The sequence below is a fragment of the Homo sapiens genome, chromosome 5 (assembly GCF_000001405.40).
Source record: "Homo sapiens chromosome 5, GRCh38.p14 Primary Assembly".
Classification (NCBI taxonomy): Eukaryota; Metazoa; Chordata; class Mammalia; order Primates; family Hominidae; genus Homo; species Homo sapiens.
Genome location: NC_000005.10, coordinates 107,935,309 through 107,952,172, shown reverse-complemented (window position 1 = coordinate 107,952,172; position 16,864 = coordinate 107,935,309). Strand labels below are relative to the sequence as shown.

General features: G+C 37.3%; 1 protein-coding gene across 3 annotated transcripts in view; it reads left to right on the top strand.

The window, feature by feature from the left end:
• Nucleotides 1-16,864, top strand: part of FBXL17 (F-box and leucine rich repeat protein 17) — a 523,064-nt gene that overhangs the window by 429,926 nt on the left and 76,274 nt on the right. Inside the window, exon 8 of one of the 3 annotated variants that reach the window (XM_011543574.4) lies at nucleotides 5,477-5,614. The exons of the other annotated variants lie outside the window; for them this stretch is intronic. Within the exon in view, the coding sequence (XP_011541876.1) occupies nucleotides 5,477-5,520 (44 nt within the window). The 3' untranslated portion in view covers nucleotides 5,521-5,614. Of the gene's footprint in view, nucleotides 1-5,476; nucleotides 5,615-16,864 lie in introns of those variants that run through there. 3 annotated transcript variants of the gene reach the window in all.

Genomic DNA, 16,864 nt, shown 5'->3' with positions numbered 1-16,864 from the left:
CTGCACATAAATTGGCATATATGTGCCTACTTGCACAATTGACTAAAGGAGTTTTTTTTTTAATGCTTGTGTTTTCCTATTGTCGATGTTCTGCAAGTGTTAAAATAGTCAAAATTTTCAGAAATTAATTGAGCTTATATATGGCAAGAAATATTCAGATTATCATTTATTCTTATGAGAATTTACTGTTTTGGGACAGCTTTCTTTTAGACAGTTGTGAGAAAAAGCTTTGAAAAGCCAATTAGAGTTTTGCTTTTTTAAAACTGGTTTTGTACAAGTAAAGGTTGTTTGCACCCATCTCACAGGTGCTGTGCAGAGAATTTTTGTTGCTACTGTTGATCTATGAAAATGTATTTGATGCAATAAACTGCCATTTTTAGCACAATTATGTACTAAATGCTTTAATACACTATTTAATCCTCACAACAACTTGTTTTCATTCTTGGAGAGAGAACTTGAGACAGAGAGCTGACATCATTGCCTGGGATTACCTAGGCTAGTAGATGGCAAAGCCAGAGTTAGATCCATTTGCTTAGCTCTCTCATATACTGCCCTTGATTTCTTGGCCATCTGCTCAGGGCACCATGCTCAGTGCCAGGTACGTCAAGATAAAAAAGACTTTCTCCCTCACCTCATGGCATTCAGTCTAGCAGGGTAGGTGCATTGCAGCACCAGGCCCACTAGGCCCTGCCAGAGTATGTGCTTCCCCCAGTTATCAAGTGCCATCAGCTAAGCACCTGTTCTGCCAGAATGCACTGGCAGTTTTTTATCTGAATGCCAATGTGACGGTTGCTGAAAGTAAGCTCTACACATAAATAAAACGTTTTAATTGTTGTGACACTAAATTACTAAATTACAAGTACTTTTCAAGTCTTCTGATATTCTCTCAGCAGAAAATAGGGAAGAAATATTGCATAAGACCAAAATTAAGCAGACATATTACCCATATGCATTGAAAATGTGTTTATGCCATGTGCATCAGAACTCTCAGGCACATCGAACCCTGAGACTGAGCCAGTAATGAGACTTACTTTTTTCCAGCACCCTGTGACCTCCTGCCTAGCCAGTCCATTATGACAATGGCAGCAGCAACTGTGCTCAGCTCACCACATGATGACAGCCTTTCTAGTGTGTGCCTGCCATTTATTAGGACATTAGTGGCAGGCCATCGTCCAGATGCCCAGCCATGACTGTCACACAAAGAAAACATTAGCTTTCTTGGATGTTGCTATTATAATTTGAAAATTAGTTTTGCCTTCATGGCTGCATCACATTTGGAATCTCTCTGTGATGTTGTTATTAGTTCGTGCTCATGGTGTTCATGATAACTGTCACACATTAATCACGTCCATCATGTGATTCTTAATTTGCTCTATTATGACAAACGGATTTAGACACAAACTTTCAATTACCTATTTTGAGGTTAATAGCAGATTTGAGGTTGTAAATTGGTTCCCAAATATTCAATTTAGGGAAATTATATCTCACCCAGCTCTAAAACATGTTCTAAGTGAGCAAATTGTATTTTTTACTATCACTGCAAAATTGTGCCAGATGAGACCATATGAGACATCTGAGTGGAGTACTGTACCCAAAAGTTTCTAACGGAATGGCATATTTGTACATTCTGTGGGACGTTCTGCTTTTTGCCATTACCTCATTTATCTACCCCATATTTATATGTATCTCAAATTATTCCAAAACATTTTATTTTACAAACTCTGTCTTTATGGGGAATATTATATAATGATTATTCTATATTCAGAATATTCACAGTGTTAATAACTTCCAATTAAACTTTTTTAGTCTAATGGCAAGAAGATATTTGTAAAGATTACTATATATTTTTATTTTCTCTGAGATCCCTTTGTTAAATAGGGATCAAATATTGTATATTTAAAATAATTGTATATCTAAAGTGATCCCGGAAATTTGCTTTCTAAATGAGCAGAGAGGTCTCCTATAGGGTCCTCTCTGGTTGCAGGGACTTCTGTCTTTTTCTTGGAGGGTTTGCCTAGGCTAATGTTCCCCTTCTTCAACAACCCTCTCCCTTTCATGTGAATTGCTGTACATTTCCAGGAAATCGTACACTTTCATCTGTTCAGAAAAACTTTCTTTTCTGACAAATCTTAGTAACAGGAAATTAAAGGCATATGGGACAGCAGTCAACAAAGTGACTGCAGAAAGTTATGTGAGATGGAAACATGGAAATTACGAGGTGGGGGGCATTCACAAATCATCTGGTTTAGAAGTCATGTAGAACGTAAACTAATAGTCGAACTCAGGAACCAAGCAGCTTGGATTTCGCTCCTGTTTCAGCTACTTCCTGTTGGACAGTGGGCAAGTCACTTAACCTATCAATTTCCTCATCAGTAAAATGGGAGTATCTATTTCTTGGAGTTGTTGTGAGGATTAAATGAATAATTTTGTAAAGCTCCTAGCATATCATTAAGTGCTTAGTAAATGTTAGCTGCTCTTATCTAGTCTGTGCTTCTATCCAAAAGGAAATTCTTTTCACATGGTTCTAAAAGGGTGATCATTCAGCCTGTACGTAAAACTTTCCCTGTGAAGAGCCATTTGCTCCTCTCCCAAGTATTTTCCCCTCATTTTTGGATAGTTCTAATAATGAGAATGGAAGTCTTCCTTCTTGTGATTTCTGTGCTTTGGGTCCAGCCCTGCTCATTAAAACATGTAGAATGTGTTGTCTGTAAAAAGATTTTTCAAATATTTGAAATATCTTGTCTATCTACTCTTCCAGATCTTTTCTTCTCAAGGGTAATTACCCAGGTCCCTTAACTTTCATATATAACATTCTTTGCAGGCCCCTTACCTCCCTACTTGCCTTAAATTGGTCATTAATGTCCCTGTTAAGATATGGTACCTAGAATAAAACCAAATATTATCTGACCAATGTAACATGTTACTTCTCTTGTTGTATATATAAGTAACATCATGGTCTAAGATTTCTTTCTTTCTTTTTTTTTTTTTTATGAAGTGCATTGACAGATGTGGTGTGGAAGCCACTGTGCTCTTAGCTACTTGCCATTCACCTAAAATCCTTAAGATCTTTTCACACTAACTGTGAAAATGCCCTAAGCCATTTTTGGTACTATTGATCTTTGACCCCAAGTGCAAGACTTCATATAGTTACTAGGAGTCTCCTTGTTGATATAGTGATGAGAAAAAGACAAAGGTTGAGAGAAGTTTTAGAAAGGCTTCATTAGTTTTTTTGAAGTGCCTAGCTTAGTGTTACACACAGAGCGAATGCTCTGTCTGTATTGACTATTAAATTTTCAAATAGTTAACACTCATTGAGCGCTTGCTATGTACCAAGAGCTATCTTAAGCACTTTATAGGCAAGATCTGCTTCTTAGTGGCATTTTATAGCATGAAATTTATACTGTAAAGAGAGGTCCTATAACTTTCTCAATCTCACATAACTAGTTAATGATGGAAAGGAAGGCAGGAATTAAATCATGTATGCCTTGAAGGCCAAGGAAGAAATTTGGGTTTAATTCAAAAGCCATTGACATGACATTGAAGGGTTCCCTGGGGAGTGGCACAGCCAGGTTTATGGATTTGAAAAGACAGCTCTGTTTACTCTCTGGAGAGGAGATTGGAGAATAGCCAGAGTGCAAGGAGGCCACCACAAGGCTATTAAAAAGTATAAGCAAGAGATGGTTAGGCCCTGGAGAAGAACAGCAGAGAAGTACATGGTTCGAGGTCTGTTACAGAGTTTGAATGTTCAGGATTTGGTGATGGAATGAATGTGTGGGCAAGGAAAGGAAGGAGTCCAGGGTGACTCCCAGGTGTGCAGTTTCAGTCACACGATGCTGAATTATTATAGTCACAATTATTATTAAAAATACAAATTAGATAAGAAGAATTAATTACATGGTTATGATAGGTAAATACTCAGAAAAAAGTGAGTGACTAAATGTATAGATTATATATGTTAAAGTTAAAACAAGAGACTACTTTCAAAAGGTTTATTTCTCTATTACCTCTTATTCTTAGGGAAAATTATATATGATAATATCCTTATGAGAAAGTGGAGCCTATTTTTTTTTTAACCATAGTGCCTTGAGAGATGTTTCTCTCTAAAAGAAAATGCCTTTTTCCCATGAGGAAAGTTGGCGGGCAGCAAGTCCCATTTGTTCCTTTAGGTTTCTGAGGCTTTATAGTCTTCTCTGATATATTTCTATGAGATGAAATCATGGGTACATGTGTCTAAACCCATCTTCTGTTCAGAGTATCTTTTAAATGTTTAGGTAGAAAAGGAATAGAGTGGAAGGAGGTAAAAGAGAGTTTTTTTAAAAAATAAGAGATTCATAGAACTTTAGCTCTGTAAAGGAACCTTACAGATAATGTCTACTAAGCCACTCGTTTTAGAGTTGACCAGAGAAGTTATTCTTTATTCAGCCTGGAGCCCTAGATCCTCAGTCTAGGGTTCTTTCCACTGTCATGATTTTCCTGGAAGCTATCTGCTAGAACCCTGCTCTTTAGAAAGGGCCAGTAGATAAAGAAACAAAATTACAAGTTAAGGAAGAAGTAGCTTCCATCTAATTGGTAGAAATTATCAGAACAGAAGAATATATTTTAGTGAGAACTTCTCATCTTAGGAATTAGTAGGTTTGGCAGGTGAGAAAAGGGGGAAAAGAGCTTACAGTGGATACTCCAATGACAGTTAGCAACACATGGTCAAGGTCAGTCAAGATAATGAGCCAGTAAGCACCCACAAACCTAGGGGTCAAGGTGAGCCAAAGTTGCCAAGTGGCCTGGTGGGCATATTTTAGATACTCAGAAGAAACTCAGGCACCTCCCAGCCCAGGCAAGGCCTGTGCCATGTTACCTGCCAGAGCTTAAAGCCCATAGGAAGGAAGAGGCATGAGACATTTCAACTCAGAAGCTAAAACTAAAGTCTTAATACACAAGAAGCTGAGACCTTGAAATCGTCTCCATTGCCCATAGCAATGCCGCGGTAAAGGCCATTGTACTTTACCTGTCAGGATCTGTCAGCCATCATTTTCTGATCAGCCCGTGAAAAAAGTCATGTTGGTGTGATTAGAAGCTGGAACTGGAGTTTACTGAGAGACGTAGGTGAGAAAAATAATACATCTTTCACAATAGAGGAGCTAGATCAGTGCATCTTACAAGGGCTTTCTTTTTTAATTATTTAATTAACTTTTGAATAGGTAATACCTTTACATGGTTTGAATTGCAAAAAAACAAAAAGGTATATGAAAAAAAAATCACCCTCCAGATGTCACTGTGCGCTACCCAGTACCCATTCCTGCTAATTGCTAAGCATGGTTCTTATGTATTATCCATTCATGGGTATTTTTCTCCATATGCAAGCCACACAAATATAATATTCTCATTTCTTTTTATTTTTTACAAAGTGGTACTATAATATATACACTATTCTGCATATTACTGTTTTCATTTGATAATTATGATTATTTTCTTAATACAGAGTCATCTCCAGCCCAAAAATTATGCAGGGGCTTCTGTCCCTGACAAAGATTTCAAGATACAAGATTGTGATTCAAGATTAAATGAGATTAGCTGGAAGCTGTGGCCCATGCCTGTAATCCCAACACTTTGGGAAGCCAAGGCCGGAGGATCACTTGAGGCCAGGAGTTGGAGGCCAGCCTGGTCAACAGTTTGAGACCTCATCTCTACAAAATAATAATAATAATAATAATAATAATAATTGGCAGGTGTGGTGGCACACACCTGTAGTCCTAGTTACTCTGATGGCTGAAACAGATCACTTAAGCCAAGGAGTTTGAAGCTGCAGTGAGCCATGATCATGTCACTGCACTTCAGCCTGGGCAGCAGAGCAAGACTCTGTCACTAATATATATATATATATATATATATATATATATATATATATATATATATATATATAAAATGAGATTGATAAAAGTAATAATACTAGAACAACTTTGGGCATCGTGCTTAGAATGCCTTAATTTAATTACACTCATATGTCTGGGGTTGTAGCAGATGGGGTCTTAACCCTATTACTAGCCAATCTAATAATACTGAGTGATTAAAGTAATTATTCCATTTCCTTATTTTCAAATAGGAAAGTGGTAGACTGGTCAGACTTTAAGGTAAATTCTAATTCTAAAACTGCTAATACTGTGTGCTTTAAAATCTCTATTTCAATGCACTGGAATATGTCTGGCTGTTAGATTATGTTATAGGGGTACATGCTCTATACAACTTCCTCCAAAAATGGTTGTCTTAAAAGTGAGTTTTCAAATTGTGAAAATTCCAGATATTCAGCAAAACATGGAGAATAGTATACAAACATCAGTATACCTTAGCTTAAAAAATAAATGTTTACAAAGAAAATTGAAGTCCCGAATTACATTTCTGTCTCTGCTCTCCAAAAGTTACCAGCCTTCTGATTTTAGTAGTATCATTCCCTGGCACATCTTGATACCTTTGCTTCATTCATATGCATCTGTAAACAATGTATATCATTCCTTTGCAGATTTTGAAATTTTATGTAAATTGTATGTGTACATTCTTCTGCATCTTGCTTTTTTTGTTTGTTTGTTTCTTGGCATTATGCTTTTGAGATTTAGCCACATTGTTATATGTGGTCCTAATTATTTCACGTTTGCTCTTATATGTTATACCATTATATATAACAACCCCAACTTAATTTTCCATTCTCACATTGATGGGCATTTAGGTTATTTTCCACTTTTATATTACAGTGCTGCAATGAATATCCTTGTGTATCTTCTTGTGTCTAAGAATAAATATAGGAGTACATCTTCGACTTTACTAGATATTGCCAATTTGCTCTCCAAAGTAAGTTGTGCTAATTTATACTCTCACCATCAGGTATAACATTTCTCATTGCTCAATATCCTTGCCAATGATTGATGTTGCCAGACTTTTTAATGTTTGCCAATCCGATTGCTGTGAAACTGAATCTCCTTAAGGTTTAAATTTATATTTACTTGATTTCTGATGAGGTAGAGCCTTTTTAGGTATGTGTATTGAATCTTCAAGTTTCCTCATATTTTAGATTGTCCATTCATATCTTTTTTTTATTTAGAAGATTCAATTTTTTTCTATTGATTTGTAGTTATTCTTAGACAGTCTGGATGCTAATCTTTTGTCAGTTATATTTTTTACTGGTATGAATTCTCCAAATTCATGGCTTGACTTTTATTTTATTATGTTATCTCAATGAACAAATTTTTCATTTTAATGTAGTTGAAGTTATCTTTTGCTTTGTTCAGTTTCTTCTATTTTGCATTTTTAAGGCCTTCTTTATTCCAACTTTATAAAGATAATTTTCTCCTGAAAGTTTGAATTTGCTTTTTATATTTAGATCTTTTATCTACTTGAATCCAATAGTCTTTTAAAAAATTGGATATACGTTTATTGAGTAGTCCATTCTTTTTTCAGTGTGATTTAATTGAATGAACAAAAAAGACATTCCAGAACATGTGGCAGTCTCATCAAAGTTAATAGGTTAACAAAATTATCTATTTGAAGATGGTTGTCATTGCTGAAAATATTTCTAAAATTATCTTTTCAAAATTACATCCAATGTCTGCTGTTCCTTACTTAACAACTACCAACATTGGTAAACTTTTTCCTTTAAGGGCAGATTTGATTTTTTGAAAGATTCAAACTCCTTTAGAACATGCTTGCTGATGAAGCTGGAGAGTAACGTTTTGGTTTAATTTAAAATGAAATGTTAACTTTGAAATGTTAAGATGGCCTTTCTTGAATGAACATAAAGTGATTCTGAGAGCAGACACATAGAAGAATTTCTCAAACTATTTTGAAATAAAATTGACCTTGATATAAATAAGGGCATAAAACCTACCATTACATTCATTTGGAAGTTTATTCTTGGTATATTTAAGTCAGGTCCTCATGACTTAGCAAGACAACCAGATGTGTAAATAGAAGAATGAATGAATGAAATAGTGATAAATGCAAAATAGACAAATGTACAAAGTATATGGAAATAAGGTATGTAGGGAGGATCTCACTGTTGAGAGGAGTCAAGGAAGGCTTACATGGTGATGACATTTGAACTGAATCTGGGAGGATGAAAATGAATTATTCACATCAAGGGCATGGTATACAAAATGCACAGCATATGCAACAGCACAGAAGGACAAAGTTGACATCAATGTACAAGGCACCTTCAAGATCAGGGGTTTATTTAGTGTGGCCAGAAGTGCTGCATTTGGCAGTCACAGATTGGTACCTCACCACCTAATGTAACTACCAAAGTCTTTTAAGCATGGAAGCAACGTGATCAGATTTGTATTTTTGATCAGAATCATCCTGGCAGTAGTGGGTTGGACAAACTTTCTCTGAAGGACCAGGTAGTAAATATTTCAGGTTTTATGGACTGTACAGTCTCTTTCACCACTGAAACACAAAAGCAGTCATTGATAATACATAAAGGAGTGGGCAGATGCTTTATATACCAAAAGCAGCAGGCCAGATTTGACCCTGCACCATCATTATTTGACCAGTGGAGTAGAGGATAGCTTGGAGTGAAGATGCGTTGAAGAAGGGAAGATTAACTACAATGATTGCAGTAGATTGGGTGAAAAAAAAAAAAAAGATGAGGTTCTAAACAAAGACTATGAAAGTTGGGGTAGAGAGAAAGGGATGAATGAGAAAAATGTTGCAAAAGAAATTTGGCAACACTGCTCTGGAATGTGTGGGGCTAGTGGTAAGGGAAAGGGAAGACCGAAGTTAACCAAAAGGTGGATGGTCATGGCTTCAACTAAGGTGGTAAACCTAGGAATAGATGAATGGTGTTTTCTGTTTGTGGGGGAAGATGGTGTGAGGGAAGGAGGCTTAGTGAGGGAGCTAAGAAAACAGGATGTATTTCAGTTTTGGCATACTGAATGGAAAGGGCTCACAGGGAGATTTGGTTTATTGCACTTATGTCTCTAAAGCTTAGGAGAGTCTGGGACTCAAAGTGTAGAGTTGATTGAAGTCTGCAGGATACAGGAAGTGTTGTGTAGTGGGAGTCAAGCAATGACAGAGCCTGGGCTCACCTACATTTACGTGATACCAAGGCAAAGAAGAGCCAGCAAGAGCAAGCAAATACCCAGAGAGGCAGGGCAAGGAGCATTCCACAAAGGAGGGATGAACAACTATGCCAGCTGCTACCAAAAGGTCAATTCAGTGAAACGAGGACCTGAAAAGTGTCCATTGTATTTGGAAAAGGAAATACATTGGTGACTTTTGTCAGAGCAGTCAGCATGATGAAGCAGTTGCCAAAATACTTAGAGAAGCAAGTGGAAGGTGAGGAAATGGGGAAAGGAGAATTCCACTTAGGTAAAGTATGGTTGAAGAAATCAGATAGGTTTTTTTTTTTTTTTCTTTTCAAGAAGGGAGATAATTGTGCCTGTTTGTACACAGAGAATGGGAGATCGTTAAAATAAGAGATACTAGGGAGAGGCATTGTCAATGGGACAAAATCCCAGAGTAGTAGTCATGAGTGCACTGGAAGCACAGGTGAAGAGGTTGGCTGCATATAAGGGGAAGATGGGTAAAGGGATTGAGTTAAGTGGAAAAAGCTCCAGCCAAATGTCCTGGTTCTCTCCCTTGGAAGTCATTCAAAGCTAATGTAATGGGCAAATCTTCATGGTTTGAGTGAGCCATTTGTGATTAGATAGTGAGGAAGAGATAGGTGTGTCATCAGTAGTTATTTGTTGGTAAGAATTTGCAGATCAAGTTGGGTGATTACTGAGAAGGCCCATTTAATTGCAGCAGAGGTTATACAAAGAGATGAGGAACACACACGTTTGAAAAAATGGCTGTGGAACCTGCCATTGGGAAGCCTTGAAATGTCATGGTCTCTCCCCTCCACCTCTGCTCTGAACTTTCTAAGAGGACAAAGTTTTGTTTTTCCTTTAGAGCCTTGCACGAGCTGAGGAACCATGGTGGTGGGGAAGGACCAGTGCGGGCATGTTAGGCACTCTGAAGATGGTCATGGGGCTTCAGTAGATGTGCTGGTATTGCCTACATCCAGCTGTGTACGCCCTCAGCCCTGTGCTGAGAGGTAGAAGCTCTACATGGGAACATCTGTGCCCCTGGCCTCCCATGGTCAGGGACCAACATGGTACCTTTGAGTTGGTGGCAGACATTATCACATGCAGCTCAGCCCTTAGCCATTTGAGAGTGAACAGTCAGAATCTCCACAGGCCAAGTGCCAGTAGTTCAGTAATAGAACTTTCAGCCACGACGGTCACGGAAGGAAGCCTACGAATTCTGTCACCTTCTTTTCTAACAGCTGAAATAATTTAGCTATATTCTGCCACATGAGCTCTATTGGAGGAAGGGGGATGCATAAGATGCTGAATTAGGTTCGAATTGAATTATTTAGTCCTCTTGATGCTGAAAGGTCCTTCTTATCTTTTGAAATGTGAGTGCTAACTTGAAGACAGTGAAGAGTTTCTCTTTCTATATCTCTAACGTGGGATCAGGATTATATCCGTCCTTAGTCACCAAGTCTTGTGTTAATGGAACTAAAACTCTCTGGGGAAGCATCCTAAACCTATTTAACGTTCCCAAGCACTAAAGTTTGCATTAGAACTTTTACATGAGCTAAGGTGTCTATAAAAATACATGCTTGCAGCCAGGTCCCTAGTGGCTTCACATCCGAGGAAACTGTGGAGCATCCGTCATTCTACCCGAGGGTTGGAATAACTCACTGTTGCAGATACTTCCATTATGTAACTCAGCCGAGGGTATTCTGCACTTGTCACAGCAGAGGTCAGCCATGATTCTGTAGAGTAGTGCAATGATTCAAGTGACTTTTAACTATTGTTGCCCAAGATGCAATGATAGAGAATCATGGAGTTTTTAAGATGAGTGGTTGATTTCCTTTTTACTCCATTAAATGCCATGGCTTTTCAATGTTGCATCATCATCTAGTTCTGTATCTTAACCCTTCAGCACCCTGGTACACACCTTGCTAACAAACCTGTAACTCTGAAATGTAATCGCAGAAAAAAGTGTGTGGGGTTTTTTTTTTTTCACTTGATTTAACCATAATTTTGTTTGAGACATTGTTTAGAATCATATCTTAGGTGAAATATCCTGAATTACTAGTTAAGTTTTGCTGTTTGTATGGCAGATGTTTAATAAAGCACTTTCTTCCCCCATAAATTAGATATTAGAAGCCAAAAAGCTATGGTTCTCAGCCTAGGCTACCTATTTGAATTACATGGGAACCTCTTTAAAATACTGATGCCAGGCCCTCCCACAGATTAATTGCATTTGATTCTCTGGGGATGGGGTCAGGCCCCCAGTATTTCTTTCAAAGTTCTCCAGGTGATTCTAGTGTGTAGCCAGGTTTGAGAACGCCTGCCTTTTAAAATGCAGATCCAATTATGTGTATTAGTTTAAAACCTTTCCTCAACAGCCTAAGCCTTAGCCTCCTTACTAAGGAGCAAGGCATTTAAGGTCCTTCCTAGAACGGACCCATTACCCTCCCAGATAAGCTCATGCTACTCTCCTGTACACGCCCACCCTCCAACTACTTCATTTTCTCTAATAGGCAGTCCTACCTTCCATCTCCATGTGTTAGCAAATACTTTGGAGAAGAGACCATATCCTTCCCCACTAAAGTATTTCCATTTTTAAACATGCCCCTGAAGATCACCACCTTATTTAACAAGCCTTCCCTGATTCTTCCAGGCAACATTCACTCCTCTCTGTACCTTGCATGCTGACCACCTTGCATATACGCCATCTCACTGTTGTTGTTTGTCCATGTGTCCCCCTCCTCCAAAAAACTGAGTTTATGTGGTAGTTGGATTCAGGCCTTACTTTTCTTTGTATTTTTCACAGTGCCTAAGACATAGGAACTACATGAATGGATGAATGAATGAATGAATGAATGAATGAATAAAATTTATTCTAAAAATGCATTATATGTAGCCGTAGGTAGGTTCCGGAGTCAGACTTCCTGGGTTCAAATGACAACTCTGCCACTTACTGGTTTTGTGACCTTGAACAAGTTATTTCATGTTTCTAGTGTCAATTTCATTATCTATTAAGTAGAAATAATACTCTTGGCCTACTTCAGAGGCTTGTGAGACTGAAATGAGATGCTAGTCAGAGTGGCTAGTATACTGTTTAACACATTAAGCACTAAATGCTCACTGTTATTATTCTTATTACCCCTTAATTGATTTTCATCTGGATGGAACTGTAAGAATTATTTGTGACAGGAATAGAGCATGAAACAGGTGAAATATAGTCAATGAAGTGTGCATTAGCCTGGTCTGGGTCAGCTGAGCCCTCCTGGTCTTCTCTTCCAGGGCCTTCATTGACTAATCTTGAGACAGGAGTGCACAAGAAAGAGCTAGTAGACTTCGGAAGACAGAGAGAGGATTCTGTCTTTTGAAAGGATATGCTATAGCAAGAGAGTGAAATAATTCCGATTGTATAATATATGCACAGAATTATTCTATACAATGATTGAAATTAGGAAATACTGGAGACAGGGTGATCCTCCGTACTCTGACATGAAATAATGAGAATCTACTGAGGGTAGAGACTGCCTCTGAATTCCCCACTATACAGCAGCCTGACATTAAAAGTTGGATACACACTAATACTTCATGGCTAGAGTCACCCACCCAGAGGCATTTGTTGAAAGCAGATCTGCATACTCCTCCCTGACCCGTGGCCCGAATCTGTGGAGGTTCTAGTAGTTAAAAGGAAAAGAAAGAAGATTGAGAAAGAGGACAGAGAGGAAATAAAGAGGTCACTTATTTACTCTTTCTCATGTTGCGTGCCCCAGAAGCACGAGGATTGTCAAGTCTCAGATGTGCAAAATCATGACTGTGATAACGGAGAATTATATGAATTCAACCTGAAAATAATGGAGCTGTAAACATTATTACGACATTTTTACCTACATATTACTTGTAGGTAAAATGAAAAATGATACACTATGTCCAATAGCATAATACCTGGCACATCATATGTATTCAGTAACTATAAACTGTTGTTGATATTATAAGGATGATAATGATCATTCATGACTCATTCAGCAAATCATCCCCTTCCAGAACATAGTCAGGAATGTTGGTTTGGACGATGCGCTAAAATTCACGCTAAATTCTATTTCGTCTGAATGGCAATAATATTCTATCTTGATATTCAACCTTAAGAGTTTTTGTATTTTAGAAAAGAAGTTTGTAAAGGTCCTAGAAATACAATATTATGAATAACTGGGTTTATATTCAATGCATTTTAAAATAATTGTTTTCCTATTTAATTATTATAAATATTTCAAAACCTATGGAAGAGATAAGACCAAAGGATAAAGAAGGGCCACTATTATTCAGGTATAAAAGTGAAGCATCTGGCTGTTTTCTAGAAGATATGTTTATGGAAATATAACATATGGGCAACATATGGAGAATGTCGGGTTGGAAGCTCTCTGGAGAGTATACTAATATATCACCACTAAGCAGATGTAAATTGCAGTGCCTTAGTCACCTACTGACTTTCTCTCTTAGCAATTAAAGGAGTTTTTCAATAGCTGAAAGTGAAGTTATTTTTAAAGATAAAAATCATTTAGGCACCTATTTACATACAATGTATTTATTTTTATCTTTAGTGTTTAAAGTTCATGCTACTTCTTCTGACTACAGTTTGTGAAGACCGATGTCACTAAAAGACAGATAAATGACTAACAACCCCTTTCACCCTAGGTTCATAGAAACTAGTGACTTTGATGCCTAGAACCATGTTTTCCCACATAGTTTTTTCTCAGTATGAGCTACCCCGTTTTTTGATTACTGATAAGCAAGTTGATCTCAGCTTTTCTGTTTTCCCAGGATTTTTTTTTTTTTCTTAAACAGCTTGGCTGTATCATTTTGAACAGTACTTCACTGGGTTCTTTAAAGCATTTCTAACACTCATCCGGCTTACATTAATCCCATTTCAGGTCACCATAAAGCAGTTGTTTTCATGTCTAATCAGCAGGCTTGCATGATCCACAAGAAGCCTGTCGTCAAGTGCACGTCTTCAAGCTGGTAAATTTGCTGCATTCTGGGATTCTGATGTTTGTGCTCCTCTCTCAGTGTTTACTGTTATTTAAAGTATTACTCACATGTGATGCTGATGAAATTGTGCAGATAATCAGATGTGGTCAGTTCAGGTCTCTAGCCATGTAGGAGAAGGTTGGAGATTCATCACTTTGATCTTGACCTTGTTGCTACAGTGAGTGCACACCCTGTCTGCCGACTCAAAGGTCATACTGGCCTTCTTGATATGATTTTCTACTCTGTCAGTCAGTATGCCATTAGGCAGAGTGCTGCCAGTGACCCCTGTAATCTCAATATTGCCAGTGAGAGGTGTGTAGGATTCTGCCGATGGGGGCAAGTACGTGATCTCATGCTGTAATTCAATTCAACATGTATTCACTGCACACCTACCATTCGCCCAGAAATACACAAGATGCCACAAGAGAGAAATAAAGGTACAGTTTCTACCTTCAAGGAGCTTACAGTATTATTGTATTATGATGAAAGTTCATCTCATGATTAGAATGGAGAGACAATAATTGCTATCGGAGGTCAGAGTAAGCTTATCAACATTTTGGCCACTGGATTTACTCTGCAGTAAGATCCGTAATCATGGCCTGTTTTTCTGTGTGTACGTTTTGAAAGCTCCCATGACAACCTACAACAGCAGCCCTTGAATGACTGCCTCACAGGCTTTTAATGATATTCAGAGCTGTTAAGTGGAGTTTCCCAGAGGACAAAAATCAGTCTAACACTGGCTTCTGAGTCCTTTATTCCACCCTCAGAGAATGCTCACACAATAGATTGAATAAGATCGGGCTGATTTGCATCCCTGCTTCACCCATTGGTGACTGAGCATCTCACCCTGTTTATGCTCAGATGATTATTGGATGTTTCACATACGTTGTATAATATATTTTTGTCACTAATTCACATCCTTTTGTGTTTACAAATGAGAATATGGATTTTTTTTGTTTAGTAATATGACTTATTTATTACCCAGGTTTTATCTTGACTTTCTTTTTTAATTTAAAAAACATTTTTCAAGGCTGACATTAGCCATTGTGTTTTTTCCCATCCAATTTTTTTTAATCCATGGTTACTTTCAGTGATGAATTGTTTAATCTAATTTTTGTTCTTTTTTGAGTTTCTTTATACTACTAGTGAAACTCCTGCTAGACTGCTTAATATACTTAAAAAAAGTGTGAAAGACAAGTTTATGGTGGGTAAAGCTGTTCATCTTGTTTCTGTTGTAATTTATAATCCAGAGAGTTTACCATTGTAAATATTTTAAAAAGTCGTCTTGCCACCCAGCCTCATATTTACACATGGGATTTACTGGTCCAATGTTAGGTCAGAAGTCAATATGAAACAGGAATGGAGGCTCTGATGTCTTGTCCCTTGGAAATGTTTTCAGAAAATTCCACAAGCAGATCACTGTACTGTGAAAATAATGGGCTGCTTAGCACATCTCCAGTCTTCACCTACATAGGGGCCTTTGTGTAACACATCAGTCATTCTAATGTAGCATCATCAATAGTTTCAAATTCAAGAATAGTTGTTAAATCTGCCAAGGTAGAAGGTGGTGCAAGGGGAGGAAGAATAATTAGCTAGAAGGTAAAAGAAAAGCAGCAAATGTATGAGGATTCTCAGCCCCTGGGAATTTTTTTTAAAAAAATAAATAGTAAATTAAGTAACTTGCAAGCATTTTTGACCCCATTTAACAGTAAATTGAGTAATCTTGCCACCCAAAACAAATAAATGTAAACAGAGAATTGATACCTTGCCTTTTTCAGCTATTAAGAATTTGAAAAGATTTGAGTGTAAAACAGTTATATAAACTTTGAAGATACATGATGCCTTAATGAGAGATTATAAAATTATTGAATTTGAAAAATTAAGTTAATTTTCAAACTCATCTCATATTGCAATTGAATGCAAACTAAAAGAAACTATCAATACAACTTTAGAAAAATGGATACCATACTCCTAGTAATAACACAAGGAAGTAAGATTTCTTCAAAGCAGATTGCATACTGCAAAGTGGCTGATTTGAACTACAGTATTATTAATATATGGGTGTTGATGATTTGACTGAGTGTTGTAAGTTTAAAAGAGAATTCCCAATTAAGTTTTTCTGTGTACTTGACCCTACAGCCCCACTCAGATTCTCCAGGATTTCTTGAGCTTGCAAACAGTTCTAATTGATTAGCAGGTGGCATGCAGTTTGCTGTCTTCCCCCACCCTTTCAGGTTGCTATGGTGATACAATCTTTGCTTCCCCTCCATTGCTTCCATGTTCCAACTGATCTATGGAATGAGATCTTGTGAACCTATTGGACAAGCTGGTGCTGGCATTTCTATTCAGACTTGTTACCTAACACTTCTGTTTGGCTTAGTAATTGGAAAATGGCCCTTTATACCAACTTACGTGCTTACATCTTGCAAAATGGTCCAAGAAAAAATAATGATGTAATTCTGTTTATTACTACCTCTCTATTGTTGCTCCTAAAGTACAAGAATGTAAAATGTTTTGAAGGCAAACCTTGAAAGCACATTCGTCTTCTTTCTTAAAGATTCTTAACTATCACTGTGAAAAGCGTTCCATTACCACTGACAATACTTTTTTTAAAAGACGTTAAACACAATATTTTGAGATAAGGCGCGCACACATACACATACACACACACACACACACATATATATATATAAAGAGAGATGCCTCTTTTGTTTAAAGTTATTTTGAAAATCAAGAGCATTGTTTCATTTGTTTTCTTTGGTGTGTTTTTACAGAAAAGCTTA